Source organism: Homo sapiens, chromosome 3 (assembly GCF_000001405.40).
Source record: "Homo sapiens chromosome 3, GRCh38.p14 Primary Assembly".
NCBI lineage: Eukaryota > Metazoa > Chordata > Mammalia > Primates > Hominidae > Homo > Homo sapiens.
In genome coordinates this window covers 141,072,873-141,099,905 of record NC_000003.12, presented here as the reverse complement: position 1 = coordinate 141,099,905, position 27,033 = coordinate 141,072,873, and the positions used below count along the sequence as shown (strand labels likewise).

Below are 27,033 nucleotides of genomic sequence, written 5' to 3'. Positions count from 1 at the left end.
GCATGGTTTATAACAGTCCCTAATGGAAGGGGATTCTCAGAAAGAAGTAAACAGAGGCTCTGTTTGACTGACCTCAGGTTAGGGGGGATGGCCTCAGTACCAGCACATTCTGGTGCCACGATGTCTTGTTCTTATCTAAATCTAAGCTCACAATAAAACACCTTCCCAACAAGACTAACGTACAAGCTCACACCACAAAAATTCCCTTCTAAGGAAATCCCCTCACTATCCTAAGATTCTGCAAGGCACTAACCAACATCTGAAGCTTTGAAGTATACACTTTGGTTAACAAAGAAATCTTTTCTGAGAAATCAGATGGCATTCAGCATCAGCAATGTCAAAAACAGTTTTATTCCTTGACTCATCATTTTTACTCCTAACAATCTACCACATGGATATAAATAACATGGGTGGTAAATGTATAAATAAGAGCATTCCTTGCAATATTACTTATAAGCAATCTATACATACAAAATAAAGGACATTAATTGGATTATGGTATAACAAAATGGTGACATATTATTTAGTCATTAAAAGTCATATTATCACAAAAATTAGCCGGGCATGGTGGCATGCGCCTGTAGTCCCAGCTACACGGGAGGCTGAGGCAGGAGAATGGCGTGAACCCAGGAGGCAGAGCTTGCAGTGAGTCGAGATCGCGCCACTGCACTCCAGCCTGGGCGACAGAGCGAAACTCCGTCTCAAAAAAAAAAAAAAAAAGTCATATTATCCCATTACTATGGTTTAAATGTCCCACTAAAACTCATGTCGATATTTAATTGCCATTGTAACAGTATTAAGAGATGGGACCTTTAAGAGGTAAGAAGTCCTGAGGGGTCCATGCTCAGAAATATGTTAATGCTGTTACTATAGGAGTGGGTTAGTATCTTGGGAGGGGCCTCCTGATAAAAGGATGTCTGGCCCCATCTGGTCTCTTTTTCATGTGCTCGCTTCCACCTTCTACCATGGGATGACCCTCGCCGGATGCCAATGCCATGCTCTTGGACTTCCCAACCTCCAGAACTGTGAGACAAATAAACTTCTGTCTTTATAAATTACCCAGTCTTTGGAATTCTATTCTAGCAGCAGAAAATGAACTAAGACACCCACCAACACCACTATTACCTTTCACTGTTCTAGATGTATTAGCCAAATAATTATATAGAAAAAGAAGGCAAAATTGTCATTATCTGCAGAAGATTTGATGGTATACCTAGAATACCCTAGAGAATCAAAAGAGAATCTACTAGAGGAACTTAGAATTCAGTGAGGCAGATAATTACAAAATTGGTAACAAAAAATCATCAGCTTCCTTCTAGACAAATAGCAAGTTAGGAAATACAATGAAAGATAGGCTTCTTTCATAATAAAAACAATTTTATATCCCTAAATACTTAGGGATAAACGTGACAAGAATTATGTAAGACTTGTAAGAAAAAAATTAAATATACTAAAAGATATAACAAAAGCTGAATAAATGGAAAGACATTTATGTTTGGATTGGCATACCCAACAATTTAAAAATATCATTTATCCATTAAAATAATCTATAAATGCCATATAATCTCAATCAAAATACCAACAGGATTTGTGGGGACCATACTAAAATAATTAACTAAAATTCTTCAAAAAAACAAACACAAAAGACGAAACAGAAACATCTAAAACAAAGAGGAGTAAGGTGGGAGTGGTCCTATCAGCTATTAAAACAGATTTTTAACCATAGCATTGCAGTAATTAAAACCACTTGGTACCGGTGAAGGACTAGATGGATCAGTGGAACACTGCATTTCTCTACAAACTGGCAAATAGTTGCTGGTTAGTAAAAAAATGGTTTGGTGAAGAAGAAAGGGCATGGATTTGAGAACCAGACAGGCCTGAGCTGTCCTCCCAGCCCATGTGACCTTAGATGTCTCTGGCATTTGCTCTGAGCCTGTTTTTGTTTCATGTAAATACTGCGGGAATTAAGTAAGGTAATGTATGTAAACTGCTCAGACTAGGAACTCCAATACAATGGCTATTCATTAAAGGGTCACTATTATTATCAGTAATTTTCTTATTATTGGTAATTACACTTTCTTTTAAAATTATTTCTATTATTAAATATTATCAATCTGCCAGCCAATCAGAGGCTCACTGACCTTTTGCTCTGTGGGACCAGCCACATCTCAGTTCCCTGTCAGGTCCTGCCTCCCAAATATAGCTACCTGCAGATCCCAGAGACCATTCCTCCTCACTGAACAGGAGGGAGGCCAGTCTCTCTCCTCTGTGAGAGACAAGCAGAAAGTCAAAGTGAAGAGGTATTAGGAGATAGTTCTCAGAGAGGATCAAGAATATGGGAAATGTGTGGCTAAGCACGGTGGCTCATGCCTGTAATCCCAGCACTTCAGGAGGCTGAGGCGGGTGGATCACCTGAGGTCAGGAGTTCAAGACCAGCTTGGCCAACTTGGGTAAACCCTGTCTCAAAAAAAACCAAAAAACAAACAAACAAACAAAAACAGAATATGGGAAATGTGTGAATCTGGAGAAAAACATGGGCAGTCTCAGAAACAGTTTCTGTAGTTTGAAAGCCTTGGTTGAAATACCATCCCTGGGTCTAGTGAAGCTCTTCCCATTCTCAGTCTAGGTAAGAGCAGGAACAATGGGGGAAATGAAGGAATCAACATGGCGGGTCCAAGGGCCAACAAAGGCCCTGGCCAGACTACAGCAATGGCCTATGTAAGGGCAGAGGGACATTGGGTCACATGGCGGCTGGGAGCTGCTGATGGAGAGTCCCCATGCAGGCTGAGTGGCATGGCCTGATTCTAGTCACCATCACAGACTGTCAAGAAAGGGTGAAAATGGAAAGAACGGGTATTTCAGGGTGATGAATTTAGAAGCCATGCACAAAGACAATAGATTGAGGACAAGGAAATCAGAGACAGGAAGTTTGGCTGGGATGCTCATTCAGCTGACCAGGATGCCAGGGAGAAGGCAATGGGCCCATTTCAACCATGGGGCACTCATTCCAGGCACAGGGCTCTGGACTATGTGTTTTTCAAGGGCCTTAAAAAATGTTTGAGACATATGGTGAATTTATTGGTTCAAAAACTACTGAAAGAAAATCATAAAGTTAAAATTAATATGTTTTAATTAAACATCTACCAAAAAAAAGCATTATGTCAAGAAGTCACGTGCAACTTGGATCACAGTTACATGTCCATTATGTTTAATGTAGGATGCTATATACTGTAATATGTTTACTATGATGTTACCAAATGCGTGAGCAGCACATGCTGGAAAAAGAGAGACAGCACAAAGAGTATGGAATTAGAAACCCAAATGGTCTCCATACTCTAGGAAATCTGGCATAGTGCAGTTAGATGGAACCCATTAGGGATTCCTGTAAAGTCCTGTTTTTAGGCCTTGGAAATCAATCCAGCTGGCAGGACAGGGAGAGCTGTCCTGGCAATATGTTCCATGAAAGAAAGTCACAAGTTCTCTGAGACTGGTCAATATGAGCTGGCTGTTCAATTAGCTAAGACTAACAGAGGCTGCATCAAAAGAAGTATAAGGTCCAGATGATGGGAGGTGAGGGTCCTACTACAACCTGTGTTTTAGGAGGTCCCAAGTGTCTAACAAGTCATGTACCTCCTTTGGTCACTAAACTCATGTGCCATCTTATTCAACTATTTAGCTGTTTCCCCCTGGGGCCCTGGGTGGTTGTCGCATTCTAGGTTTGGCTCCTCTTCTACAAGGAAGCATATAAAAGGCTTCTGACTGAGGCAGAAGGTACCTCTGGTTCTTCTGTCTCAGGCGTTATTCCTACCTCTGCTCTTCCCCACTCACCCAACTGGTCCCTTCCTGGCTTCCCTGAGAGTTTTCTGGGACTTGGTGTTGTCAAAAGTCATATAAACCCTAATATCATCTGGCTCTGTTGTCCCCCATGGCCCCAGACATCAGGCAGAAGAAGGGAGTTTTTACTTTTAGCTGTAAGAAGGATGGATGAGGAAGACCTGTGCTCTTCTTGCCCAAATCTAGGCCTTGGGCCCCAATCCAGACTTGCTCTCAGGAGTCTCCTGGCTCTCCATTGAGTCTGGATCCAAGATCTCCAATAATCTCTGCCACATCTCCTCCCTGGGCCTCCCTCATCCTGGGACAGTACCTCTGCCCACAGTGCCAGCTCCACCCTGGTTAGCCTCAGGCCCAGCTTCATAAGCAGAAAGCACTGGGATAGATTTTCCAGAATGTTCCGAGGGGACAGGACACAAGGGGTCCAGGTCCTGGCAGCTTCCCAGGAAGTTTGGGTGGGCACAGGCCCTCCTCATCCATCCTTCTCACAGAGAAAAGTAAAAACTCCCTTCTTCTGCCTGATGTCTGGGGCAGTGGGGGACAACAGAGCCAGATGACATTAGGATTTATATGACTTTTGACAACACCAAGTCCCAGCAAAGTCTCAGGGGAGCCGGGAAGGGAGCAGGTGGGTGAGTGGGGAATGAATAAGTCTGTTCTGCGCCCCAGGACAGCCTCTTCCATTATGCATTTGTATTCATTCCGTAGCCATGGTGCTCCAGGCAGCGACCCAAACAATACAGAGGACACAGCTGTTGAGGAGCTTATAGTCTCAAATTTTCCGCCTCGCAGTAGCCCGGAAATCCCTTCCTGAACATGCTCTCCGCAGTCTCGGCAGCACAGCAACTCTCCGGGGACTGCGGAGGGCTGCGGCATCACCCGCACACCTAGGACGCAGGCACCTTTCTGCACGGTGGCTGAAGCGGTCTTCACCCCTACCCCTGGCCTGCCTCGGCCTCTTCCCCACCTCTAACTCAAATAGGGACCGACGAGACACGCCCCGTTTGGCAGCAGAATACACCGCCAGCCAGTGGAGCCTTTTCTCTCATATGATACAATGCATCCCTAGTGGTCTCTGAGGTACTTCTAAATCTCCCATGTTCTCTGGGAGGAGCAGTGCAGCCACTGAGAAAATGGATGAGGTCTCGGAGACAAGGGAAGCACAGGCAGGAGAGGCTTGTCCTCAGCCAGCTACAGGGTGAGCCAACACAAGGGATAGGGTGAGGGGGCTGGAGAATGTGTACACCAACCCTCCAGACAGTGATTGAGGGCTGCTCCCAGGGGGGCAAAGGGGCGGGGGGCGGGGGGCGGGCAGGGCACAAGGGAGAACCTTCAGGCCAAGAAATAAGCCAGCATCTCAGTCTAGCAGGCAATCAGCTTCCTCCTCAGGGTGCAATAACGTGGTTTCCACTTGAGAGCATTTTGTTACACGACTTTTGGGGGTGGTTAAAAAAAGGCCCAGGAGTAAACACAATATCCAACCCATGTTCTCTTCAGGTCGTCATTAAAAAATTGCCTCCTCTAAGAGGCCTTCCCTGAGTCTCTCACCAGCCATTCTCCGAGTTCAGGGCACAAGAGTGCATGCAACAGCTGTCTAGCTCAGCTCCCTCCGAGGCAACTGACAGAGATAAGGAACTGCCTCATCTCCCCGTGGTCACCTGGAGAGGGCAGGAGCAGAGACTCTCCCCTGGATGTCCCATGGCAGCCAGTGCAAATCTGGAAACAGCCAGGCACAAATGCAATGACTCATTCATTCACCAAGTTCCCATGCACCTGCTCTGAGCCGGCCCAGTGCTGGAGGCCAGAGGTACACAGACCAACCAGGCTCACAGTCAGATGAGAAGGGCCATGGCGGGAGGAGACTGGGAGCTGTGGGAGCTGGAGGAGGAAGAGAAGGTGGACATACGCAGTGTCAGCCTCAGGGCAGACCACTGAGCCCCAGCCGACCTCAGGCAGCAAGGCTGCTGCAAACCGCTTGCTGTAGAGATACAGCAAGCACGCCTGGCTGCCAACAACTACAGGGAACCTGGCCAGGCCAGCTGGGAATTTGCCTGCCGGGACCTGCCTGGCTTTTTTTTTACAGACATCTCATGGGGCTGGTGCTGCTAGCCTCCACTTCCCAGAGGTGGAAACAGAGGCTCAGAACACAGCAGTGACCAGAACAAGGTCACATGGGAGACCTGTGTGGTATTAGAAGAGGGGGCCAAGGCATGGCTCAGGCTGGAGTTCAGCAAGGCACGGCTCAGGCTCTGGAGGGCTGGAGGAGTGGGCACAGGGCTCTTCATGCCCAGCTGGTGAGGACCCCTGGCTTCTGGTCTGAGCCTGCTGCAGAGGTTGAACTGCTCATTAGAGTCTATGTGTGTGATTAATATGCATGTGGGATGATGGGAGAGAAGCACAGCTGAGCCTTGGCAGCCGGCATGGCCCTTCTGCAGCGCCGCAGGGTGGGAAGGTGGCTCTGGAGAACCGGAAGCTTCACTGGCTGTGACTAATCCACCATGGGTCTCAAGCCCAGCTTAACCTCTCTGGGCCTCCTCTATGTCACCTAAGCTCAAACACTGTGATGCATTACACCTCGGTATGGCAGAATGAGTAAGGTTTTGGAATGAGACAGACCCAGGTTTGGATCCTGGCTCTGTCACTTATTAGTTGGGTGACCTTGGGAAAGTTATGTGACCCCTCTGAGCCATCAAGTGCAAAAGAAACTAAGGTCTACTCTGCAGATTTCCTGGGAAGATTGACAATATGAAAAGTGCTTACTGCAATGTATGGCATTACTAGATATTTTATTATTGTTGTTGTCATCATATTCAGCTGGCATTTTTAGGTTTAAGTTCCAAGAAGCTTTGATTTTTTTCTCTACAGACTCTCTTATGAAAGAGAACCATTTCGTCTCCCTGCACTCCCTCTGCAAATGTTCCCACATCCCTGCAGCTGCCCCATCTTCCACCACCTCTTCCCATCCCATCCAGGTATAGGGCTCCTGACACCTTTTCCTGTCATGCGGTCTCAGCCCCACTGCCACCCCCTTCCCAGAGCCACCCTGAAGCCTGTACTGCAGGCCAGCAACCATGGTGTGACTACAGCCTCCTCTGAGCAAGGCCTGGGGAGGGAGAAAGCAGGCAGAAGAAAAAGAGCAGAGCCCAAGCATCAGACTAGCCTGGAAACAGCTGCGTGGTCTTGGGCATGTCACTTCACCCCTCTGAGCCTCGTAAAATGGGAGAGCAGTCCCTCCTTGCAGCAGCACAGGTGTGAGGAAGTTGACAAGACAGTGAGCGTGCACTGCCATATAGGAAGGTTCCCTTCCCGTGCAGGGAATGTTGCCTCCTCGTTCCCTGCCTTGGGACAGTGCCCAGGCTGCTCACCCGGCCTCAGCAGCAGTAAACCCCACAGCAAGAGCCTGAGCCCCCATGCCAGTCAAGCCTCTAAAGGGCCAGCTGGTAGGGCAGTACAGGAAGGGGTGTCTGGGCAAAGGTGGTAGCTGCCTGAGCAGGCCCCAGCTGCCCAGAGTTATTCTGGCAGAGTCCAGTTCCATCCCAGCCTCAAGGCCCACTCCTGGTGCACAGGGGCACATGGAGGTATTAGTTGTATCAACAACAAAGCCTTATGTGTAGTCGGCTCTAATGAATGCTTCTTGACTGATCATTTGTTGATAGTCGAGAATGGTAGATATGGTTAGTGAAGGAGAAGGGCTTTGGTTGAATGTAGTTTGATTTCACCCTGGAAGTCTTTTGCTAATATGCTAATGCTAATGCTAATAATAATATCTACTATTTAGCAGGCCTTGTTTGTGCCCTCACTCTACATTGTTATGTCTAATCCTTAAACAATGCTGAGAAGCAAGGATTACCCTCCCATCTTGCAGAAGAGAAAGCCAAAGCTCAGAGGGGTGAAATGACTTGCACCAGGTCTCCCAGCTCGGGATAAAGGAAGCTGAGATTTGAACCTAGCTCCGTCTGATTCAAAACTGACATTCTGCTTCCCACAAATCCAGACCTTGCCTGTCCCCATGCTGCCAGCTCTGGGTTCATAGCTTCCTCCAGAGTTTGCTCCCTGCTGTGTTCCATGTTACACTGACTACTGAGAAAAGCAGCATCTGGGCTGAGCAGGCTCCAGAGACACAGGCTTTGCTGAAGGGAGCTGGTAGGGAATGAGCTCTACCTGCTCATCTGCCTTCCAAAAGGAAACTGTCTGACAAAAGGAAGTCTCTCTGCCCTGTCACCACCTCTGTAGGTTGCAGCCTGTGTTCCCTGGCCATTTTTAGCATGAACCCGGGCCCCTGGTACCACCTGTAGTGGGCAGTGCCATTGGGCTATCCTGAGCGAAGTCAGCGTCCACATTACTGCTGGCAAACAGCACCTGCACTACTTTAATTAAGTCATTTGTCAGCATTTACAGGCTGTGGCAGAGAGATCAGAGGAGCAGGAGTCTGGGGTTTCCATGACAGCCCTGGCTCTGTCACCAACATGTGGTGGAGATCTGGGCACTTCCCTTACACTCTCTGAACTCAGGGTTCTCACTTGTCAGATGGGAAGGATTATGTCCTGCCTTATTGCTCAGGACAGTTTTGACGGTCAAAAATAATAGAAAACAGATTCAAAAGTTGAAAAGCACTTATAAGTAGACAGCATCATGCTTGTTGAAACAATAATTTCTGTCATTAATAGAAACTCATGTTTTTGGTACTCTTACTGTATGCACTTTATTACATGGACTGTCTCACTAATCTCCATGACAATGCTCACGAGGTGGTTATGGCTTTTATCCCTACTTTACAGAAGCAGAAACTGAGCCTTGGTTTCTAAGCATTACAGTGCCCAAGGGCTTGGTGCTGGGACCTCTTCTCTTCAGTAGCCACCCTCCTTCGCCAGGGGATTTCATGCTACATCATGGCTATTTTAAAAATCTGTATGCTTGACCTCTGTCCACACAGAACCTCCTCATGGATGTCCGATGGGCATCTCAACCATAGCATGTCCAAATCTGAGCCCCTGCTGGCCACTCCCCAACCCACAGTCTTGCCCATCTTGGTGAATGGCCCCTCCATCCTTCCAGTCACTTGGGCCCAAAACCATGGAGTTATCCTTGACTCTTTTCTTATCCTTTACAGCAAATTATGTTGGCTTCACTTTCAAAATAAATCCAGCATCCAACTACTTCTCACCATCTTCACTGCTGCCATCCCGAGCCAAGCCACCAGCATCTCTTACCTTAATTGAAATAGCCTCCTTCCTAGCTGGCCTCCTTACTTCTGCCCTGGCCCCTCTACGGTCTATTTTCAAGATTGCAGTTAAAGTGATCCTTTTAAAACCTAGGCAAATCATGCCACCCTTCTTCTCAAAAGTCTGTAGTGACTCCCCGTCTCACTCAGAGAAAAAGCCAAACATCATCCTTGATCGGCTAACCTCTGTGCCCGGTTTCGCTCTGGTCTCAGGCCCTGCTCCTCTCTCCCTTGCTCTTGGGTTCTAACACATGTACCACAGAGCCTTTGTACATGCTGTTTCTGCTGCCTGGATAACCCTCCCCAGAGATACCCACATAGCTCACTCCCTCCCCTCTTTCAAGTTTTTTTTGCTTAAATATCACTTTCTCCACGAGTTTCTCAACCATCTTATTTAAAATTGCAAGCCCCAGCCTCCTCCAACACACTCCAGCTCCTTTCCTATTTTATTTTTCTCCACCGTACTTATCATTAGCTAACACTTTACTGTTCATTTACTGACTGATTTTCTGTCTCCACCTACTAAAATATAAGCTTCATGAGGACAGAGACTTTTGTCCGTTTTGTCCCTGCTGTTTTGTGTCCTCAGTGCCTGGAATAGTGCTTGGCATGTAGTAGGTACTCAATTAATATGTGCAGATTCAGTTAATTTAAAAATGGACTTTCTCATGGACACATGGTGGTAGAATTGGGAGTTTAAATTCTGGGCTAACACCAACATATTAATACATTCCCAAACTGGGAAGCAGGAGAAGAGAGGGAGAGAAGAGGGGATGAGAAAGAATTGTTCTGCTTAGCATTTCCCCTCATTTATAAGTGGTCTGTAAGGGAGGCAGGAGCAAAAACACAAGGGACGGGGGAGGGAGGGAGTGGCCAACACCAACCAAGACAAGTGTTCCTAGATCTCCCCACCCCACTGCAAGATTTTATCAGCTGCTTTCAAAACAACAAAAAAAGCAATTCTAAAGCAGGACCTAGAGTGACTTTCCCAAGGTCACCCTAGCTGATTAATGGCAGAGCTGTCAACACCCAAAAATTGTGAAATGATTTCTGTGAAATCCCTGAAAATTGGTTTTGCAAAGATAACTGGCTTTTGACAAATTTCCCCAAAGAATAAGGTAAGAGGTTCTGTCCAAATGTGTCCATCATCTCATCTGGTTCCCAACCCTGAGGCTGCTGGCACAGGCCTGGCTGCGAAAATCTGATAAAATGCTTCATTGCCATTCAGGAAAACTACAGGCCAAGACGTTGAAAACACCACCTCTGCTCACTGTCTTACCTGCCCCACACTCATCTCCTCCCTCCACCTTTGTTCAAGCTGGCCTCTGGCCTGCCTTGCCTTCCTGCTAGGCCCCTCCTTCTCCTCCAGGCTCTACTCCACTAGGCAAATACCCAGATTTCAGGACTCAGAGTGTTACCTCCTCTGCACAGCCCTCCTTTCACTCCCTGACTCCTCTGTGTCCTGTGTATCCTTTCTGAGGTCTGTGGGCACCTGGGGTCCTTACTGCACTGTTCTACTCCTGCTGGACGTATGGGCTGGAACCGTTTTGGCCAATCTTTGTGGCTGCAAATCCCCATCCTGGTCTGGCCTCCCGGTGCAGATGGGGAAAGGTCAGCCAGTGTTTGGACCCTCGTCCACCTGAAGAGAGCAAAAACTTGTCACACACACCCCTTCCTTAAGGACCAGTAGCCTCTGGCTTGGGTTGGTCCCAAACTTGGAGGATGGGGATGACCCCCTAAGCAGGATTGACGCTGCCAGGAAGGGCTCCTTGGCCTGAAATTCCTCCTGCAATGTTTCATTCAATCATGAAGGAAGCGAGTTGCACACTGGTAAGTTCAGTGTGGCCCCGTTTGTACTCTGTGAAAAAGAAAGTGTATATATCAGTGTTTGGATATGGACACAGATGTGCTTATATATGCCTAGAATATATCTGTGGAGCTCTATGAGAAATTGGTCAGATTGGGCCTTGGTTTGGGTTCCTGAGACAAAGATGTGGGTGCAGATAGCTTTGTGGGAGGATCTCAGGAGATGAAAATGAGAGACGGAGAAAGTGAGACAGGGAAGGGAGGAAGAGTAGAGAGAATGTGTGAATGAGCTGCATACTGCTGTGGGCATCCTGGGCTCATTCACTAGGATGCTCTGAGCATCTATGTAGGATGGACCTCAGAACTGTCTCCCTGGAGGCTGGGGAGCTGGGGGCACTTAACCATGGACTCCTGTCTCCGAGTCATTGAGGGGTATCCCCAAGGGTGTTAACTCCCCTGCACATCCCGGTGCTGCCTGCATCCGGCTGAGTGGCTACCTGCAGCTTAGGAGAAAGCAAAACTGACTGATGCCCACAGCAGTACCTAACCAGTTGAGCTGAGAGGATGTGGTGGGGGCACCCCAAGAGTCTGCTAGGAAGTGGGGATAGAGGCACTTTAGAATTTTCACAGTTATATCCTTTTGTATGTGTTGATTTGGAAGTACATAAAAGCGCAAAGACGCAGGAAAATTCACGTCTTATCCTGCCACCTAGAAGTAATCGTCAATAGCCTGTTTGGAATATACCTTCCAGCATTATTCTTTGTAGCATGGATGTACGCAGTACATTTAACTGTGCGCCCTTTTCTGTGTCCCTGTGTACCGCTGGCAACAACTTCCCTTGAAGCCAGCACTAACAGCTTCTGCAGTCCAGGGGAAGGTGTGGGTAGCTCCTGGGTCCATTTCCAAGAGAGCCCTGGGGGACGGAGTTTCAGGACCAGATGGAACTCAGAGAGCAGAGAGACCCCCTTGGGCCATTCCCCACCCCACAGCACACTGCGGAGTTATCACCCTGATGCTGTGTCTCAGCTGTTAAACACAGTGCTGCCTAAATGGCCAACAGGGCTTTAAATCTCCGCTCAAGGGTCACTTCCATTTTCCTGCTCACTGAGCCCAACCAAACTTTTGTTTCCTAAAGAAAAGTCTATCATTTAAGGTTGTAAAGTACAGAAGCATCTCACCACTCCCCACCCCTACCACAGACAAGGCCAGAACGCATCCGGCAGCAACTCCTCACAGGCGACTAGAGACAATTGCCATCATCCCCTCCCATTCCTCCTCTGCCCTGCCCGCATTTGCCTTGGTGGGCACGTGGGGAATGCAGGACTCTGTGGCTTGGTATGCAGCCCTGGGCCCTGGTCCAGCTCTGCCACTCCCTGGCCTTGCAACCTCAAGCCACCACTTGACCTTCCGAGGCTGTTTGCTCATCTGGAAAATGGGTACATCACACACACTTCCCAGGACTATTTAAGGATCAAATGAGATCATGGATGTAAAGCAGCTGCCACAGTGCCTGACGTCACTGGGACCCTACAACTGGGGGCTCCCCCAGCACATGCTGGACATTTTACCCCATACTGGGACCCTCTTCCTGGGTTACCTCCCTATGTGGCCTGCCTCCCTCCACCTTCTTCAATTTTGTCTGTCCAAGGCCCCCTGGTGCTTCCTACCACTTCACTAAAGGAGAATCCTCCTAACACCTGGCTTTCATCATGCTCCGTCAGACTGTCACACAGCTCCCACTGCCTACAGGAAGTCTAAATTCTGCAGCCTCATGCTCCAGGCCTCCTAGAGGTCTCCTTCCGGCCAGTCAACCTACTGCAGCCATACTACTGTGCACACTGCCTGCTACGCCAGCCCCAGAAGGACAGCCCCCTTCAAGATAGGCTCAGAGAGCTCATCCTCCTGAATAAGGGTCGGGGTCCTGCATGCAAATCTGGCTGTGAAGGCTCAGAAGCCCTAGTCCTCTGTGCTGTGCGCGTGTCATCTTCCAGGCAGCTGGCCCTGAAGCTCTGGGCCACCTTTATCCCCTTCCCTCTGCTCTTAAACGCAGGGCCTGCTCCTCTGCAGAATCAGTGTTCCCAAGCAGGATAGCACAGGCTCTGGATCAGCTGACCCAGGAGATCAACTCTCAGCTTCCTTTCTTACCAGCTACGTGACCTTGGGCAAGCCTCTATGCCTCAGTTTCCCCAAGAGGAATGTTAACACCACCTGCCTCTATAGTGTTCTTATGAGATAAAAGAGGTGACACATATAAAGTGCTGATAACAGAGCCTGGGACACGGTATCATTTTATAATCTTCACCATAGTTCTAACTTATTGCGTATGTCCTATGTGTCAGGACTTTACAGTTATTCTGTCAGTAATCCTCACTCTGCAAGGCAAGTCACATTATCCTTGTTTCAAATAAAGAAACTGGGGCTTAGAAGAGTAATTTACCCTGGATCTTATCCCAGACCTGTTGGATCCAAATACTGTACCATGGCCAAAGAGCCATTACCACTTACACGTCCACACTGTGTGCCAGGTCTTAAGATGTTTATGTATATGTCATATGTACAGGCCTCAAAACAGCCCCATAAGGTGGGCACTATTATCATCATCTCCATTTTACAGGCAAGGAAACTGAAGCACAGAGAGGTTAATTAACAGATGCAGGATCACACAGCAAGCAAGCAGGAAAGCTAAGACTGGAACCCAGGCAGTTTGAACATAAACTCTGCACCTAATTGCTACCCTCTGTGTCTCCCACCTGCTTTGCCCTCTTTTATTTCATGTGATCCTCTCAAAAACCCTTCAAGGAAGGTAGTATTACCCCCTTTCACAGCTAAGGAAACCCTGGGCTGTGACACACAGCAGGAGTGAAATTAAACCAAAAGACAATGCATTTCCAGGTGTGAAAATAAAATGGCTCAGAACTTCCCTTAAATTCTTTCTGTATTACTGCATTTTGGAAAACCTCTCACCAGGGGATGAGGCTGCAGCTACATTAGTGACATTGTATTTCCTTCTTTCCTCCTAATTCATGCTCCAACCACACAGACCATTCTGCAGACTCAAGCCCTGCTGAAGGGCAATGGATGCCTTAAGGAGGCTGCAGATCAGAAATAAAATCAGACTGCAGAGCACCAAGAAACCCTTCACCTAAATTCCGCTCTGCTTTGGGGCTTTGGGGGATGGCTGGCCATGTGCCAGCTCTGTTTGCAGGAGCTGCACCAAACCTTGGGAATCCCTAGGGAGGGGACCTTCTGGCAGAAGACCAGCAAGACACATGCTATTGGCTCCACACCCACACCAAAGGGAGGCATCATTAATTGATCACAGTGTTCTTTCCCACAGACGTAAGATTGGGCTGCAGAATCCTTTGCAGAACAGTGCTCTAGGCAGCACCTACTGATCAGAACTGTATCTCTCAGCTTCCTTGCACTAGAAGTGGTCATGTGATAGTGTTCTGGCCATTGGGCTATGCACAGAAGCATAGTAAGGCATTTCAGAAAAATCTTTTAAAAGATGAGTCACGTGCCCTCCTTTAGCTCTTCCATTCTGCTGCCTGGAATGTGGGTGCAATGGCTGAAGCTCTAGCAGCCATTCCAGACAATGAGGTACCTATGGGAATGGAAGCCACAAGGTAGGAAGGTGGAGCAGCAGGCAGAAGGAGCCTGGGGCAGTGATCATGGAGCCCCACAACATCCTTGCACTGCCTGCTTCCAGACTTCTCTTCCATGAGAGAGAAATTCTTGTTTAAGCCCATAGTATTAGGCATTTTTGGTTGCAAACAAGCAGATCTAATTCTCACTGATACAGTTCCAACTCCTCATTTTCTCCCCTAGGTGTACTTCCAGCATGCTGTCCAACTTGCAGGTCCCTGAATCCATCAAGCTGGTTCCCATCCTGTGCCTGTACCTTCCTTCCACATGCTATTCCTTCTATCTGAAGCACCCTTCTGCCACCCTATCTATTTGGCAAATGCCAACCCATCCTCCAAGACTCGGCTCAAGCACTCCTCTCTGGAAAGCTGTCCTGGATTCTGACACTGCAGTGCATCCATCTTGAGTTCCCACAGTGCCCTGGCCTTCCTGCTCAATTACAACCCCTATCACCAATTCCTACAATTCTGTATCCATAGCTGTCTTTCGGACTTACTGGCACAAGGGCAGTGTCTGATCTTCCCCATGGGCCCAGGCAGATGAAGCACAGTAAATGTTTGCAGAAAGAATGAACAAGGTATGAATGAGCATCTGGAGGGGTCAGACATTCTGAGCTATAGAAGCTCCAGCAGCTGCCGTAGTGCAGAAAAGCTTCTTGGAGGAGGAGGAGGGAGAGATAGCAGCACAGGGAATGCCAGCTTGGTCTATTGGTCCAGGTTAATGCCTGTGCCATAACAAGTAGACACCACAGACCCTCCAGAGATCTTTATATGGCTTAATGGAATATCTCCAAGATGGTCCCTGAAGTCTTGGAGAGGTCACAGCCTCCAGCTGCTGCCCGGGCTGGGATCACCAAGTGTTTGTGATTGACAGGGCAGCTGCCTAAAAATGTTCCAAGCCCCAGGGCAGGCAGGGGGAGGGGGGCCAAGCATTGTTGGAAGCTAAGCTTACTCTGTGCTGGCATAGTACAGCCATCTGGTTTGGGTCAAAGGTCTCCAGGGACCCGTTTGATTTATAGGCCAGTGCAGCCACCCAGGCGGCATGAGGGTGAGGGCAAGGAGAGGCCAGGAGAGGGGTGTGGGGGAGGTGGAGGGAAGGGACGGTTAGAGGCCCCTTCAGAGGCTGAGCAAGCCCTATGCTTCTGCTCCAGGCCATAGAGTGCCTTAGGTTGCTTTTAAAAGAAACATCACAAAAGAAAGCATTAAAAAAGTCAAGAAGTATTTATCGTGTGCCTACTGTCTCCCTGGGTCTGCATCAGATGCTGTTACTCTCTGGGAGAGGAAGTAAATCCACATGAGCTCTACCCAGCGACGCCGGGCTTCCCACACTGCGGCCTCATCCACCTCGCTCTGCCATTATTAGCCGCATTCTACAGATGATGACGCCAAAGAGCAGAGTCCCACAGCCTGCAGTGGCAGAGCTGTGAGGCAAGCCCAGGCTTTCTGCCCAACTTCAGAGTCTTTCCCCTCTACCCTGCAGGGCCTCCAGAGGGTTCTGGAGTTCAGAGGGGAGGGAGGTAAGCAGGGGCCAGAGTCAAACGAGGAGTCTCAGAAAAAGGCCTGTGAGGATTGCTCACTAAGAAGGGGCCATGCCTTATAAAGACCCCACAGACCCCCTTCACCACCGCAAATGTGCTCCAGCAGCACAGAACAGAATGGGCAATATGGACTAAGGTCATTAAAGAGGACTTTAGAAACCAAGGTGGCATTGCTCGGAGCCTCCAGAAAGGATAGCTTTAGACAGGTGGAGAAGTGGGCCAGCATCAGGCAGGGAGCACAGCACAAGCAGAAGCATGGAGGCAGAGACTTGCCCGCCGGGGGATGTGGAGGCTGCACTGAGGGCTGGGAGGTCGCACTCCTCTGCTGGGGGAGGTGGAGAAGCAGGTTCTGGTGCTGGGTGCCACACAAAAGGGTCACCTCCCTGGCCCTGCCCAGAGAAAGGGGCAGAGCTAAGCCCCAAGTGGGGCAGGGGCCTTTCTCATATCTTCTGCTGGACACGCCCTGGGACCATAAGGGGCACCATCCAGGGCTCTACAGAGGGTGGGGGGGTGGCAGTGTGGAGACAACAGTGATTGTCTCCTTGGAAAAGTCACAGTACACAGTCCCCATGGGCCCTCCAAACCAGCCGGGGAAGCCATGCACGTGGCACTCTAGCCCTCTATCTCCTCCATCAAATAAGCTGGCCAGGCACCCCCACTCTAGTGAGGGCACCTGGGGGGACCTGTGGTGGACACAGGTCACACAGCTCAGCAAAACCTGGCCTTAAACCCAAATCTAAGGAAGCCCAGATCACCACGTTGAGGCCAAAGAAAGAAAGCAGAGATGGCCTAGAGCATTTCAGATACTTAGAAAGCCTGGTGCAGCTCATCATGGTCTGGGGAGGTCCATGGTGGACACAGGTCACACAGCTCAGCAAAACCTGGCCTTAAACCCAAATCTGAGGAAGCCCAGATCACCACGCTGAGGCCAAACAAAGAAAGCAGGGATGGCGTAGAGCGTTTCAGATATTTAGAAAGCCTGGTGCAGCTCATCATGGTCAGAGTGAAGACAGCAGGGGAAGAAAAGAGCCCTCAGGACATTCTGAAAGGGACGCTTTGAGCCTGAAATCAGGCAGACTAGAGTCCAAATTCTAGTTCTGGCCCTGAAACCTTTCAGCCGTTCACAGCCTCAGTTTCCCCATCTGTGAAATGGGGATATTATTAACACTTCACACATGGGGCTAAAAGGATTTAATGGAAAGATAGATAGATAGATAGATAGATAGATAGATAGATAGATAGATAGCACCTGGGTTGGGGCAAGGAGATAATCATCAAATGGTTACTTTGGCTTTTCTTCACCGCCTATATTGCTGGAAAGCACAGCAGTTCTGTGACAGAAAAAGTTTATCTGGCAGGGCTCAAACTCCTCTCTGTGTTCTGCATGTCTGTGGTGTGGACCTCACGAAAAGCCAAAGCCAGACCTAAGCAATGAACCCACCCAGGGCTAGAGTGTAGCAGACAATCCATCATCAATAAGTCAGCCAGAAATGCCACCTCCCAACCATGGATGCAGATGAGAGCCTGGCCCAGCCTGGGGAGGGGCCGCCTGATGCAGCCTGGCACTGGGCTACCTCCTGCCAGGCGCACTCCCTGGGAGACCTGGCAAAGCCCAGCTCTGGCTTTTGACCTCTGCCCCCGAATTGTTTTCATGTGGTGGGGCTCACGATGGGCCATGGGTTCAGCAAATGACAACCAGACCCAGCCAGATGCACACATGTGTCAGGGACAAGGAATGTGTTCAACAACTCTTGGGGCAGGAATATGGCCTGGTGAAAGGCCACCAGGTCAGGAGGAAAAGAGAAAGACGTGTGCTCCCCATGCGGCAGCCACCAGCACTGTTCATGGCTGTTGGGGATACAGGAGGGACATGGCTGGTCTCCTTCTCTAAATGGTCTACAGCCCCATCAGAAAGACAGGATGGACACCCCAGAACCTTAAAATCATAACTGAGGACAGTCTAGGATTACAAGCTGAGATAAATAATAGTGCCATATGAAGTAGCCCCTAACGCCGTCCAGGCCTTTGCGATTTACAAGGGGCTTTCACAGGTTTTGCTTTATTTCATCTCCATAACAGCCCTCTTTCTTATTTTTCCCATTTCACCCACAAAGAAATGGAGGCTCAGCAGGCTCAGGGACGTCCCCAAGGACACAGAGCTAGCAAGAGGCCTGCTGCAGAACTGCCACTGTGTTCTGCACAGCTGCCCCTCCCCCCGCAGAGCTCCTGGCCCCTGCTGTCCCCCAGGCCCTCCTCAGCATTCCTGGCATACCTCCTGTCAGTGGCTACCCCCCACCACCAAAGACCTTTGACATTCGCCTAAGGTTTTCTGGTCCTGCAGCCTGACACTCATTGGCTGGTATCTGGGCTAAATCTTTCTCCTACCCCCACCCCCACTTGAACTCACTCCCTGGGCCCTGGAGCCACTCTGCTGACCACTGGCCCAGAAGAAGTCCCATGGCAGAAACAGAGGCCTGTGCTCTCTCTCTGGGGCTCCTCAGCCCTCTCCAGTGGCTCTAAAGCAGCCCCATCCAGTAGAACTTTGAGCCGCGGTCGGAATGGTTTACATGGGCTCATCCAATAGGGCAGCCACGAGCCGTGTCTGTGGAGCATTTGGATGCGGCTAGCACAACCAAGTAACTGAACATTTAACTTTATTTGATTTTAATTAAACGACCACATATGGTTAGGGCTAGTGGCTCCCACATTGGATAGGGCAGATGTGGAGCTGATGTAGCACCACAGTGTAAAGTGTTTGTCATCCAAAAAATCCAGATGCCCAGTCCCTCCATCTCAGAGACTGCAGAATGATGGAGACCACTTGAGGTCATCTTATCCAATCCCCTCCTTGCAGTGGAGAAACTGAGGCACAAAGAGAGGAGCTGACTTCCCCGAGGTCACAGAGCAAGTGGGCAAGCTGGAGCCCACTGGGCCAGGTTTCCTGGCTCCCAGACAAGTGCTCTTTCCAGGACCTGTCCGCCTCCTGCCTTTTATAATCCCACACCAGACTCTGGGTACAACTCAGTTCAGGTTGAGTATGCTTTTTTAACTTTCACATATCTGAACAGTCCACTGTGGCAGAACACCTTAAATATCCAAGGGAGGTTGCCTGTGTCAGCCAAAAAGGAAATACAAGCCCACAATTCACCACTTCTCTCCTGGGTGGCTTGCGCAGCATGGTGGTGACAAGGGCCCAGGCCAGCTTGAGCTCCACCACCCCAGGTGACAAAAGGGGAAGCCAGAGCTTACCCAAGCAGAGCCCTGCCCTGGTGCTGCCCTTCCCAGGGTCCAGCCAAGAATGTGGAGAGGCTGCAGCATGATGGACAAGGCGGGGGACATATGTCACAGCTACAGAGGTCGGGGTGGGCTCCAAGCCCTGGGTCACTCACTTGCCCCAGGTAGGGAAGACTGAAACACAAATGCCCTGCCCAAGAACAGGACAGAGTTGAGACTTACCAAAGCTCACGCTGAGTTCACTGCTTTACAGAGGCCCCTTTTCTTGGCTGGACTGCCAGATGGTTCTTAGTAGACCCAGGGAACTCTATGCTTTCTTAAAAAGCCTGGAATTCAGTTTTCTGGAGCAATGGCAAGACGGAAAAGCACAAGATGGAGGTTCAAATCAGCTCTACCACTCATGGTGCAACCCTGGGCGAGTCTCTCAACCTTTCTGGGCCTCAATTAACTTGTCTGTAAAATGCAAATGGCCATATCCACCTCAACCAAAGGCCACCCTGACCAAAGTTCCAACAACATGCCATTTTTTAGCAGCGGGGAGACCTGTCCCAGTGGAAAAGAGACTGGTAGTAAGAATTACTTTTTTAAAATGAGATTGTGTATAACTTTTAAAAAAAATAGTGGAATGACTGAAGTCTAAAAGATGGAAAGACATGTTGGTGTCTCCCTGCTGCTGACCCCTGAGCCTCACCACCCCCACTCTGCCCTCCATGATCCCCAGCCCTGCCAGCCATGGGCTTGCCTGTTGGTCCCCACTGACTCGCTCTTCCCCTAGATCTTCACATGGCTCCCTCTGCCTCATCATTTAGGTCTCACTTAAATGCCCCTCCCCCAAAGGGGACCACTGCAGCAGCTGACCTCCCTCCCTTATCATATTCTCCAACTTTGTTCTATATCTGGATTTTCATAAGCATTTATGAATTTTCATAAGCATGTATTCTTGGTTTACTCTGTTTCCTCCATGAGAGTGGAAACTGGACCTGCCTTGCCCACCACTGCTGCCCAGCTTCCGGCTAAGGGTCAGCACACCACAGGCCCTTCATAAACACTGGTGCAGGGATAGATGCCTGGGTGTCACTGCCCTCCCCACGCTGCTTGGCCGATTGACCTAGCAGGATTGCATGTGATTGAGGAAAGTGGAATGGCTTCTTTACACTCATATCAAATTAAGTAGCTACGGGCAGGGTGCAATGAATTTCAATTTACTATTGGTAGCTAACTGGAAATTTCTCAGGATTCCCTTCTCCAAAATTTCAGTAAGAAGCTTGTCTATACTCTTTCTGTTTTGTGGGATGCTGTGGGAAATGGGCACTCTTTCCCTGGGCCTCTGCTGCCAACCAAATGTGCTTTTCTTTTTTTTTTTTTTGAGATGGAGTCTTGCTCTGTCTGGAGCTCAGGCTGGAGTGCAGTGGTGTGATCTCAGCTCACTACAACCTCCACCTGCCGGGTTCACGCCATCCTCCTGCCTCAGCCTCCCAAGTAGCTGGGACTACAGGTGCCTGCCACCACACCCGGCTATTTTTGTGTATTTTTAGTAGAGACGGGGTTTCACCATGTTAGCCAGGATGGTCTCAATCTCCTGACCTTGTGATCCGCCCACCTCGGCCTCCCAAAGTGCTGGGATTACAGGCATGAGCCACCGTGCCCGGCCCCAAATGTGCTTTTCATCCTACCGTGTGGCCTCTGAGTGATGCAGCAGCTCATTCAACAAACACACACAGAATCCACTACATGCCAGGACAAATAGAACAGCCCAGCCCCTGCTGTCGGGAAAAGGGCAGTGACTGGGAGGACTTGAGGCTGTACTACACAATCTTGAGGGTGCAGAAGTGGTGCACACAAGAGCACCGTACCTCCTGGAACTGCAGCGGAGGGCCTGGCTTTTGGCAGAGTGCTTGGCGCTTAACCCAGAGGCCCCTCAGGAGGTACCAGGAAGAAACAGTGAAATGAAGCTGCTTTTTCAAATTAGAGCATCTACCACTGGTACTTAGGTTGCATGGACACATTGTCCCTTTGGAGAGGAAAGCCCCTGAATTCTGCTAAACACACCTTTCCTTTGTGGCAGAGTTGATGGAAAGGATCTTCAGGTCCCCCAAGCTTGTTCCAGCCAATACTGGGAGCCTGATCCTTGCTTCTGCCCTAGACTGAGCTCCCCAACCGGTTCCTGGGAATCTGGAGCATTGTGGCTCCCTCCAGCATACCCTGCCCCTAAGGACCTTGCACTCCCCACACCCTCCTTCCAGCCAGGCATTCCAGGCAGCTGACTTCTGGCCAGTGCAGGGACTGATGGCACAAGTCAACTGGGAAGCTTGTGACACACACGTTCCAAGCCCCACTGCAAGGGTTTCTGATTCGGCAGGTGAGAGACAGCAGAGATCTGTGTCTTCCACATGCCCTGAAGGATACTGAGGTCCAGGCAAGTATGCTAAGGGCCAAGCTCTTCCACAGCTGAGGAATAAGCAGCTAGGCCCATCCCAACCAGAGGGCTAGTGGGAGCCTCTGCCTGCACCTGAGGAGAAGCCCTGGGCCCATCAGACACTCACAGGATTTTAAACCAAGATCTGGGAACACAGCATGCCAGCTTGCACATTATAAAGTTGCCAAGGCCACAGTGAGCCAAAGCCAAGGGGCACCTCAAATTATGAGGGAACAGAAAAGATAGAGGAGATGGGGGGAGACCATGGCAGACGTGCAGTTGATGCAGTGATGGGGTGCCTGAGCGGTTTCTCATTCCTGGACCACCTGCCGCCTCCCACAATCCACATGCAGCCTTATGCTCACCACTTCCTTGAGGCAACTTGTGAGTTCTGGGCTTCCAAAGGAGCCCTCACTAAACAGCCCACTCCCACTGTTGGCACCTGGCCTGGCCTCTGCATAAGCACTGTGAGTGGCCCTCAGTTGTGACCCGTGGCCCCTCACTCCAGAAGGGTGACCCCTCACCCTTAGGAGATGAACGGTATCTCCCATGCTCTTCCTCGTGAGGCTCAAACATCAGGCAGAGAGCTGTCCTCTACCCCAGAACACGCCAGAAGCAAACACGCTCTCACCCTGGGACCTCCTCATGAATTGCATTTTGAGGGAGAAACATCAACAAAGAGGACAAGATCTGGAAGTCAGCTGTGGCTCCCTGGATCGACTCAGAAGCATCTACTTAAATGACTTCAAAGCTGGGATGATGACAAGGTCTTTGCTGGCAGTTCCAGCCCCCTGCTGCTCACCAGTGAGATCATGGGCGTGGGAGACAAGAGGGATGGGAGACACCAGGCGCCCACTGGGGCTCCCAGCAGGCGGGTCACGAAGCAGAACTCACGGCTCTATTTATAGAAAGCAGCCGCTGAGAAGGATGAAGAACCGGGGAGAGCCTGCACGGCAGTATTTTCCAAGCTCACGCTGTCTCGGCTTAATTTCATCCCAAGCAAATAACTCATTAAGGAGGCACCGAGTCCTGGAAGATCTGACGAAGAAGGGCCATTAAGCGGCACAGCCTTTGCTTGAATTATGGAATGCCTCAGACAAGCAGCCTTATTAGTGTCTGGGCGAGGCCGTAACTCACGCTAACCGCCCCCTTGCTTTAACCAAAGCAAATCAGCTGGCTCCCGACCCTGTAAATAAAGGCTGCCGCCAGCCTGGCAGGGCATTGGCTCTCCCCGCTCACTTAAACCCCATCCCCCGCCCCGGCAAATTTGCTTCCTCTATTCAATGCTTTCCCAGCACCACCCACTCAGAATCATCAGCAAGTCAGAAGAGTTCAGAGTGAATGCAGTTTGCTGTACTGTATTTAAGGGTATCTAAGTGCTGTGGTACTGGGGCCTGCCAATGCTGGCTTCAGTAAACTCTTGTTAAGCACAGTCAATCCAAGGCCTGGGACCACCTGCAAAACCACTGAAGACTCAACGTGACCCTGAGTAGCACAGAGGTTACAGGTGTGGGTGCTGGAGTAGGCCTGGACTCAAGTTCGGGACAGACACCCCCCAAGCAACTGCTGGCTCTTCATGTCCCTCAGGCCTAATCTCCACATGTGCAGACTGTGATACCAGCACTTCTCCTCACCCGTGGAGATTAAATGAGCTATGCTGCATAGGGTGCTGACAAGCCTTTGTGCAGGGCGGTGGAGCTGGGCAGTGTCTGGCCTTTTGTGAGTGCTCAATCAATGACTGTTTAACAAAGAGCTGTTTCCATTTGCAGTAATCCCTTGCCAAACAAAGTCATCCTCACAGGAACATTCATGGATAAGAGTGTGGATTTACTCGTGTACACTGCATTGGCAACTATAAGAATTTGGGTTCCAGGGCACATACATGGAGTCACTTGGTAGCTGGGAAGGGAAGTGGGGCCGGACGTGAAAAGGAGGAAATGCAGAAGGCATAGCTGCCTTGTCGGGAGCAGGGCCAAGCAAGGCCTGAGACTGGCCTGGCGTCAGCCAGGTGGCAAGGACGAGGGCAGAGCCAGGCTCGGTAACCCCAGGCTGAGCTGGAATCAGGGAAGTGGGCCATTTCCAACAAAGAGGGCAACACAGACCAAGGCACAGAGGAATACGCATTTTATTTTATCTTATTTATTTTTTACTTTTTTGAGACACAGTTTCACTCTGTTGCCCAGGGTGGAGTGCAGTGGCTCGATCTCAGCTCACTGCAACCTCCACCTTCGGGTTCAAATCATTCTTGTGCCTCAGCCTCCTGAGTAGCTGGGATTACAGGCATGTGTACTATACCTGGCTTTTTTTTTTTTTTTTTTTTTTGTATTTTTAGTAGAGACAGGGTTTCGTCGTGTTGGACAGGGTGGTCTCGAACTCCTGACCTCAAGTGATCCGCCTGCCTCGGCCTCCCAAAGTGCTGGGATTACAAGCGTGAGCCACAAAGCCCGGCTGGAATATGCATTTTAGCTTGGCTGCGGGATCATTCAGCATGGCGGGTAGATGGGTGGATGGTGGGGCGTGGGGATAAGCTGTGATTGGGGGCCCTTGATCTGTGTTACATCTTCATCAGCATCATCCAGGAGCTTGTTAGAAATGCAGAATCTTGGGCCCGACCCAGTCCTACTAAGTCAGAATCAGCATTTTAAGAAGGTCACCAGGTGGCTTGAATGCACACTGAGGTTTGAGAAGTGTTGCTGACAACTCTACGGGGTAAGTGCCATCACTATGCCCACTTTACAGGTGAGGATACCGAGGAACTGCAAAGTTAGGAAACTTATGCCCAGGTCACGCAGGTACTAAACAGGAAGACCAGTTCTTACCTGGGTATCTGTGACTGTGCTAACCCCCTGGTTGTATGGTCTGAGCGGCGGCCAGGACAGGGTCTCTGACATGCAGGAGGCACTGAGAAGCCATGGAGGGTCTTCATCTGTGTGTGTTGTGGGGAGACACTGGTCTAAACTCTGCCCAAGCTCCAAGGCCTCCCCTCAGAAAGTCCCTCCAACCCATCAGCATCACCCCTGGCCCTAATCACTCTCCTCCTAAGCTCCTACATCCTCCCACAGCTGTGTTTTTCAATACGGACTCAGAAACTGCATTGAATTCTCACTCCCTTGTTTCTGATGGGGAACATTTTCAAGGGGGATTGGAGGCCTGGGTTTTAGTTCAGGTTCTGCCACTACCTGGCAGGTAACCTTGGGCAAAGCCTCCCAGCTCTCTGGTCCAGTCAGCTCCCATCTGTAAAAGGTGGGTCTTGCATTGGCTGCCAGATACCATCTCTTCTATCCCTGTGTCTGGGGCCTTTGCCTTCACCCTTCTGCCAGGGCCTGAAAAGGTGAGACCCTTTACCTCTTCCCCTTCCCTTTTTCCCAAAGGTCCAATAATGGCCAGCCCACAACTAGACCAAGTCACTATTTTCGCAGAGGTGGACGCCGGCCCTCAGGGCCGCCACCTCGGCAGCTCATCCCTGCTGAATGTCTGCCTGCACACAGCTGGTGAAGGTGCTGCTCATTTGGGTATCCTTGTGAATGCATGTCCACCAGGCAAGTCACCACGGGGAGCTGCGGCCTTTTAGAGAAACACTTGAATAAGACATGCAGCCGGAAACCGCTCACAGGGAAGGCTAAACACTCCCAGCTCATTTGCAACAAACTCACAATGGCCTGTGAACCTCAGGTGGCATTTCCATCATGTATCTTAGAGAGAAACGAGTCCAAGACCATCCAAACCACCACAGATTCCCTCGTGTGAAATCCTTCAGTTTCACAGTGTGGACCAAAATTTAATAACCATAATTATTTCTATATTTAATAACTGTAATTTTACCAATTTATGAGAGCAGTAATAGTCATAATTAGCCATTTTTAAACCTACCGCTTTTTCAGTAGCTACGTTCTAGGCACTAGATCAGTCACTTTCTATATATTAATCCATGATCCTGACACCTCGTAGCAAAGTAAGTTTGTTTTTCAGATGAGAAAATGAAGGCTTGGGCATGAAATGACTTGTTCAGGGTCACAGCTAATTAGAAACCAAGTCAGGACTGAAGCCAAGCCAGTGCTGGAAGACCCCTGAACCCTGCTCTTCCCACAAGACCATGCTGTGGCCCACGGTGATGCTTGTCCTGATTAAGCCTGATTTCAAATGCTGTCACCTGCATTTCAAAGCCACCTTTCTGCAAGCCAGACTTCCATGAACCGAATTATGACTATGTTAATATGAAAACCTCCTTCAAAGAAGGGCCACAGCATCTGATCGAGGCCTTTTCTCAACTGAGAGACTGTTCCTTTCAAACAAAGGGTAGGGGGCAGTTTCTGAATGTCAGGATCCTGCATTGACATGCCTGACCCATCAAGCAGCCTCTGCTTGGCCTGTGTGCAGGGACAGATGTGCTGTACACAGGACACAATGAGAGATGGAAAAAGGGTCACTCAGGGGCAGCTCATAGCCAGCCCCTCTGCTCCAGCCAACTGTGACTCAAGTCCCCCTGTGGCAGAGGAAAGAAAAGCTTATTCAGTTGGTGGGAGGCCAGGACATTAATATGCATTTACTGAGCACCGACTATGTACTCTGTTGCAAGGGCTGCTATAGGGTGGTTGAAAAGGCCAAGATGCAGTTGCCACAGCAAAGAGCCACCACTTTCACCATTAGCAGCAGCAGCAATAACAGAAAAGCAAAACACACACATTATGGGCTTATTCTGTGAAGTAAAGGGCTAGGTGTCTTATGTTGACTACACACTATGTAAGGACTGGCTGAATTAGACACCTCAAATAATATTAATCCAACAATGTGTCTGAAGCCTCCTTAATATCAAATTAATAAATTTTAAAAAGAGAAAAAATTAACGTGATTCTACTGTATTTTAAACTGGAAACAAAGTCATTCACGAGCCTTCATCAGGTGCGCAAGATGAGCTCAGCACCGCAATCAGAAATTCAGGGAACGCATATCAATATTAACCTACTGTGAGCCTCATGCTGGGCAGTGCTTCATTTCTGCATCACTTCTAATACTCACAGCAACTCTGAAAGGTACATATAATTATTCCCACTGCACAGATGGGAAAACTGAGGCTTGGGGATGTTAATTAGCTAGAGGGGGCAGAAAGGAAATTTCAATTGGGATCAAAATGTATGCTCAAAGATTGGAAACTGCCTAAATGTCCAAATATGGGGATCTAAGTAATTAGATTATAACACAACCATATCATGGACCCATGCGACTGCTAAGAAAGAATGAAGCAGCTCTACATTAACTGATAGTAGATAACTGCCAAGGTCCATTGAAGGGAGAAAACAAGATACAGGGGAATGTTTTCAGTATGATCTAAAAATTATCTGTCA

At 49.4% G+C, this 27,033-nt stretch overlaps 1 protein-coding gene across 3 annotated transcripts in view, besides 3 other annotated features; it reads right to left on the bottom strand.

Annotated features, from left to right (window-relative positions):
* The window catches only part of SPSB4 (splA/ryanodine receptor domain and SOCS box containing 4), a 97,265-nt gene that overhangs the window by 48,706 nt on the left and 21,526 nt on the right, over nucleotides 1-27,033 (bottom strand). Inside the window, exons 3-4 of one of the 3 annotated variants that reach the window (XR_924215.4) lie at nucleotides 19,498-19,616; nucleotides 6,022-10,910 (exon numbers count right to left, since the gene is read on the bottom strand). The exons of 1 other annotated variant lie outside the window; for it this stretch is intronic. Coding sequence is in view for 1 of the 2 variants with exons in the window: in XM_017007509.3 (XP_016862998.1) it covers nucleotides 19,609-19,616 (8 nt within the window). In the remaining variant the exon portion in view is untranslated. Of the gene's footprint in view, nucleotides 1-6,021; nucleotides 19,617-27,033 lie in introns of those variants that run through there. One more of the 3 variants, XM_017007509.3, reaches the window with a different exon arrangement.
* Nucleotides 12,489-13,262: an enhancer, noted in NCBI's record as "H3K27ac-H3K4me1 hESC enhancer chr3:140805486-140806259 (GRCh37/hg19 assembly coordinates)". NCBI's record gives its function as "activates a minimal SCP1, AML or CMV promoter by ChIP-STARR-seq in primed H9 embryonic stem cells {active_cell/tissue: H9 hESC(primed)}" and the evidence as "EXISTENCE:reporter gene assay evidence [ECO:0000049][PMID:30033119]".
* Nucleotides 16,042-16,551: an enhancer, noted in NCBI's record as "H3K27ac-H3K4me1 hESC enhancer chr3:140802197-140802706 (GRCh37/hg19 assembly coordinates)". NCBI's record gives its function as "activates a minimal SCP1, AML or CMV promoter by ChIP-STARR-seq in primed H9 embryonic stem cells {active_cell/tissue: H9 hESC(primed)}" and the evidence as "EXISTENCE:reporter gene assay evidence [ECO:0000049][PMID:30033119]".
* Nucleotides 25,326-25,911: an enhancer, noted in NCBI's record as "OCT4-NANOG-H3K27ac-H3K4me1 hESC enhancer chr3:140792837-140793422 (GRCh37/hg19 assembly coordinates)". NCBI's record gives its function as "activates a minimal SCP1, AML or CMV promoter by ChIP-STARR-seq in naive H9 embryonic stem cells {active_cell/tissue: H9 hESC(naive)}" and the evidence as "EXISTENCE:reporter gene assay evidence [ECO:0000049][PMID:30033119]".